The sequence below is a fragment of the Homo sapiens genome, chromosome X (assembly GCF_000001405.40).
Source record: "Homo sapiens chromosome X, GRCh38.p14 Primary Assembly".
In the NCBI taxonomy this organism is placed as follows: domain Eukaryota; kingdom Metazoa; phylum Chordata; class Mammalia; order Primates; family Hominidae; genus Homo; species Homo sapiens.
Genome location: NC_000023.11, coordinates 55,219,397 through 55,224,399, shown reverse-complemented (window position 1 = coordinate 55,224,399; position 5,003 = coordinate 55,219,397). Strand labels below are relative to the sequence as shown.

General features: G+C 39.0%; 1 protein-coding gene across 2 annotated transcripts; it reads right to left on the bottom strand.

The window, feature by feature from the left end:
* Nucleotides 1–291: 291 nt before the first annotated feature.
* PAGE5 (PAGE family member 5) lies at nt 292–4,054 on the bottom strand. 2 transcript variants are annotated; one of them, NM_130467.5, is made up of 5 exons: nt 3,749–4,054; nt 2,937–3,025; nt 2,525–2,633; nt 1,654–1,779; nt 292–413 (listed from the first exon to the last, which is right to left on the bottom strand). In NM_130467.5, the coding sequence occupies exons 1-5, from the start codon at nt 3,798–3,800 to the stop codon at nt 397–399; spliced, it is 393 nt and encodes a 130-aa protein (NP_569734.2). In that variant the 5' UTR covers nt 3,801–4,054; the 3' UTR covers nt 292–396. The 2 variants fall into 2 exon arrangements, with proteins under 2 accessions (NP_569734.2, NP_001013453.1); NM_001013435.3 differs by having other exon boundaries at nt 3,948–4,054.
* Nucleotides 4,055–5,003: the final 949 nt, after the last annotated feature.

The window sequence follows — 5,003 nt, the reverse complement described above, 5'->3', positions numbered from 1 at the left end:
TCCACTACCATGAATGAGAAAAGTAAATAAAAGGAATAATGTTAAAAATGGCAAAGAAACCTGTTATTATTAAAAGATTATACAATTGTGTCTGTTAAAAATCCAAAAGGATATAGAGGTAAACTTTTGGAATTAATAAGCATAGTTAGAAAGGTTGCAGGATAGAAAATCAATGTACCAACATGTTCTCTCTATATACCATCTCAAACACAGGATTTAAATTTTCATAAAAGATACAATTCTCAAGAGTATTAAAAATCTAGAAATAAATTTAACAAAAAAGTGCAGAAGTCTTTGCAGAAAACTGTAAAACTTTATTAAGAGAATGTTAGCAGTCAAATTTCCAGCATAAGAACAATATTCTTGGTTTCAGTCTTCATTTGTCTTGGTTTAAACCTATAGTTGCCCTTCACCTATAATATAAATATAAAATTAGAGCACGTTATTCAGCAGATTTCTATTTAGATGACACTAGAAGTATACAACTACAGTGTTGATTAACTAAAATCAGAACCCTGAGGGTGTCCCTTTAGCTTACATCCAGTTAGCCTCTGAATAAACTCAGAAGGTAGACTTCCAGGCATATTAACAATATTTTTAATTCATGCCACTTTTTCTAGTAGAATAACAAAGACACTGTTCGAGTACAGAATGAATTAAATCAAGTGAATCTATTTTATATGTGTAAGTGGAAAGTAAAAATATGCCTATACTTTTAGTAAAAATTCAACCAAACAAAAACCTAAGGAAAAAAATATATTTTTAAAGTATCATTTAAATTTTTTGATATGAAATAACACTCTGAATATAGAATATGTTTAGAACTGCCTAAGTGCAGGAAATAGAAAAGTCAGTATTACTTTTGTGTATCTTGTGAAAAAGTGTTAAAATGTTACTTTGGACTAGTTTAGACATTATGTAGTTGCTTTAAGTAGTGAACATTTGTCACTATTTTCATTGGTACTCCTGCCTCTCAACATGCTTAAAAGCATTTCAGTTTATACAGTAAACTGAAAACCCCCACGCTAGCTTTAAGACATTACCAGCACAATTAACATTACAACATAAACTGATGCTTATCATAAACATGTTATGTATTTGTTAAAAAACAGTCCTCTGTAAAAATACCTGAAAATTATTGGCTGTTGGTTACATGACTTACATTTAAAAGTTAGAAAACCTTTTCTTATCTTTCTTTTAAAAATGACACATGAAATCATATATATTTATCATGTAAAACATGATGTTTTAAAATATACATACATTGTAAAACGGCTCAACCTAATTAATATATGCATTATTTCATATAGCTGTGAAGACACTCAAAATCTACTCTCTTAGCATGTTTCATATCTTTCATATCGTAACTCAATTAGCTTTGACCCAATTTATTCTATCTCTTGAAGTTCTGGCCTCAAGTGGTCTTTCTGCCTCGGCTTCCCAAAGTGCTGGAATTAACAGCATGAGCCACCACACCTGGCCTTCTATCTCTGATAGTGTGTAAGGCAGCCATTTGGGGTCTGAACTACCTTCAAAGAATCTTTAGATGTGAAGTATGATATTAAAGTAGCAGTAATTTTACCTCTGTGTCACACAAAATACAATATTGTGAAAATAGAAACCCTATAATTTGCATCTTATTGAATAACATACCTGCTTCCAGCACTTTAGTGGGATCAAAAGTGGGCAGAGTCCCCTCCCTGACATCAGGACCATCTCCAGGTGCATCCTCTATCTTAAGCAGAGCCAGTTCCTGTTGAAAAGCTTCCACATCAGTCCCTTAAAGATAAAAAGTCGTCAATTTACGAATTAAAATATGAACTATGAACGAGGTAATAATATTTATTCCCTCATCATTGTGAAATAAAAACCTGTAGGCTAATTATTTCAGAAGTCTGTTGCCAGAAAAGCAGGAAAGCAGAAATGTTCAAACATTGCCCTTTCCTTTCCCAAGGCTGGCCCTAGACAACTTACTTGTTCCTTTTGTACTCATTTGTTCTTATTCTTATCACATTAAATCAGTGATTTGTTTGAGTCAGTCTGACTAGACTATGAGCTTTAGGCAAAAATTTGGCACTGACATCTCCGGCGCTTAGTATATTACACAGCATGAGGAAGCATTAATAAATGTGTTAAAAAGTATCTTATAAAAATACATGAGAGATGTCCGCAGATGGCAGACTAGGAAGCTGCAAGCTGCCATTCTTCCACAGAAGCATAAAACAAAACAAAACAAAACAAAAAACAGAAAATAGCTGAACAAACCATACAGGAACTCTGGAAAACACTCAAAGGTTTACGGCAACCATGCAAATACCCAATCAATAAAAAGCCTCCGTCAAAATGGTAGGAAAGTTTGTGGCTTTTTATGTGTCCTTGTCCCACCCCTCCGCACAGCAGCAGTAAGAAATGTTTAAGATTCCTTCCTAATGTTTTCTGTCCTCCTGTTACTGGTATGTCACAAAATATAATGCATAAATAGACCTCCACCACCCATAAGCATTATTCTCCACTCTCCCTTCACCTTGAACAGCAGGTGCTCCTTCATTTTTGATCTCCCCACTAGGTGCAATACCCTGATTATCAGTTGGTGGTTCCTCTTCTTGACGTTTTTCCTCAGTGGGCTGCTGGACCTAAGGGTGTAAGTGTGTGTGCGAATAAAAAGTCAATAATATAAACACACAAATGCATATGTGCATCGAATCATAAATCTAAAGACATTTTCCAATAGATATATATATAGAGAGAGAGTAAAATATCCATATCCATAAGGCAACACCAGAATATAATATTCCTGAACCAAAGTTGCCTTCATGAGATGCCATCATCATTTTTTATTAGCATGGAACACCTGTATCAGTGCATGTACACTCGCTCAAAAATATTTTTTAAAATAAAATGTGTTAATAGAAAACATCAAATGCTAAAGGACTCACAATCACAGGTCCAACTGGCTGGGAAGACTCTTGGTCATTTCCTCTTTCTGAGGATTGGGATCTTGTTACATGCTCACTCATATCTCTCACTGAAAACAAAATATTGTTATTTGGAAAAAGTGTGTAAGAACTTAGCTATATATATGAACATTCCATGGCAAAATGGTGATTTGTACTTTTTTAATTTTGAAAATATTTTCAAACTAAGTCACAGAGCATTGATAAGTACGCATGCTTTCCAATCAAACTAAGGACAGATTTGTTTGTATCATAGTCGAAGAGGCACAGAAAACACCTTAACGCCATAGCAAAAGACAGAGGACTTTTCTGAGTTTTGGCTTCACAATTAGACTCTCCATCATTTACACATTTAGGAAAAAAACGGGCAGAAAATTGAAACTGAAGTGACTGCTGCTTTCCTCCCACTCTGATATACTAGGGCCACCACCACCTCCTCCCCACTCCCCGAAAAATCAAGTTTTGTTGGAATGCACAGCCTCAACCATTCCTTTCCATGAGGTCCATGGCTGAGATGAGAAGTTGCGACACAGAGTTAAGGTTATGTTCCTCACTGGACACCTCTGCCAGGCACTCTACAGACCTCGGGGCCGTAGTCACCAGCCCACAGCGTTCCCAGTTTCCTGGCCCCTTCCTTACCACCCACACCATCCCTTCTCGCATCCCTAACGAAGAGTCCAGAAACTGTCCTCCCTCAGAGAGTTCCAGGCGTTTTCGGGACTCAGACACCTCTAACAGCACCCACCCCCAGGACTCGCACCATCTTCAGGCGATCTACCCCCTCCACGGCCTACCTTCCTCCCTCGTTCCAGCCCAGCCACGATTACCGGCCCATGGCGCCTGCATCAGGACCTGGGGGAAGGCGGAGGACCACCGCGAGGCCCTTTTCCCTCAAAGCCACGGACTGTGCCACGGGACCTGTCCTAAGCCCGCTGGCTCCTCCACACATTCACTCACAACTAAATTACCAGGAAGACCACTCTGCAGACCTACCGGCTGAGTCTCGGTCAGTGAGAAAGAACGAAGATGTTGGAAAGAACGAAGATGGCGGAAAGAACGAAGACACAACCTCTCCTTGCAGAGCTCTGCCTAGACAGAAGGTGGGCAGAAAGGCGCATGCGCAGCAACAGATCTGTGCAGCATGCGCACTCAGTGGGGTATTTGCCACGTGACTGAAGGTTTCCTGCCTCTGTGGAGAACCTAAACCACAAGCTCTTCTGACAACGAAAATGAACTTACAAAGCACTTTTCTTTTTCCCCCGCCCAACCTTCCTTTCACTTCCAATGGCGTTGGAGAATATGAGGCCCAGGTTACTCTAAGAAAACAATGTGTTTCGGACAAATTCGCCATCATAGAAATAAATATTATATATGTTAATACCCATTTTATATCTGCTTTCATAAATCATTTTCTTGTGCCTTCGCGAGTCTGCTGTCATGCTTGCAATGATCTTACCCACTCCAATATGATAAGACATTCATAGTTTTTGTTGCATGATTGTACATTCAAAATCATTGATCCGGGCCAGGCGCAGTGGCTCACGCCTGTAATCCCAGCCCTTTGGGAGGCCCAAGCGGGCAGATCACGAGGTCAGTAGATCGAGATCATCCTGGCTAACATGGTGAAACCCCATCTCTACTAAAAATTCAAAAAATTAGCCGGGCATAGTGGCACGCGCCTGTAGTCTCAGCTACTCGGGAGGCTGAGGCTGGATAATTGCTTGAACCCGGGAGGTGGAAGTTGCAGTGAGCCGAGATCGTGCCACTGCACTCCAGCCTGGGCAACAAAGTGAGACCTCATCTCAAAAAAAAAAAAAAAACAAAACAAACAAACAAAAAAAAAATTGATCCATCTGAACAAAATTAAGTGGTAGGGACTCTACATCATTTGTTGAATCCCTGTTTCACCCACTGTTTTGAAGTGGCTCTTTTATCATCACCTACATCCCCACTCAATTTTGTATGTAACTCTCTTATTTTAATTTTCTTCCATTGAGTCGTTTGTACCTGTACCACTAGTATACTATTTTAATTGCTGTAGCTTAATTA

What these genes read in the sequence shown, in the direction of transcription:
- PAGE5 (NM_130467.5), bottom strand. Translation starts at nt 3,800, where the DNA reads ATGCAGGCGCCATGGGCCGGTAATCGTGGCTGGGCTGGAACGAGGGAG. An exon ending in AGCCAGTTGGACCTGTGATT is followed by an intron (nt 2,634 to 2,936) that starts GTGAGTCCTTTA and finishes TTACACCCTTAG; the next exon opens with GTCCAGCAGCCCACTGAGGA. An exon ending in AGGAGCACCTGCTGTTCAAG is followed by an intron (nt 1,780 to 2,524) that starts GTGAAGGGAGAG and finishes TTTATCTTTAAG; the next exon opens with GGACTGATGTGGAAGCTTTT.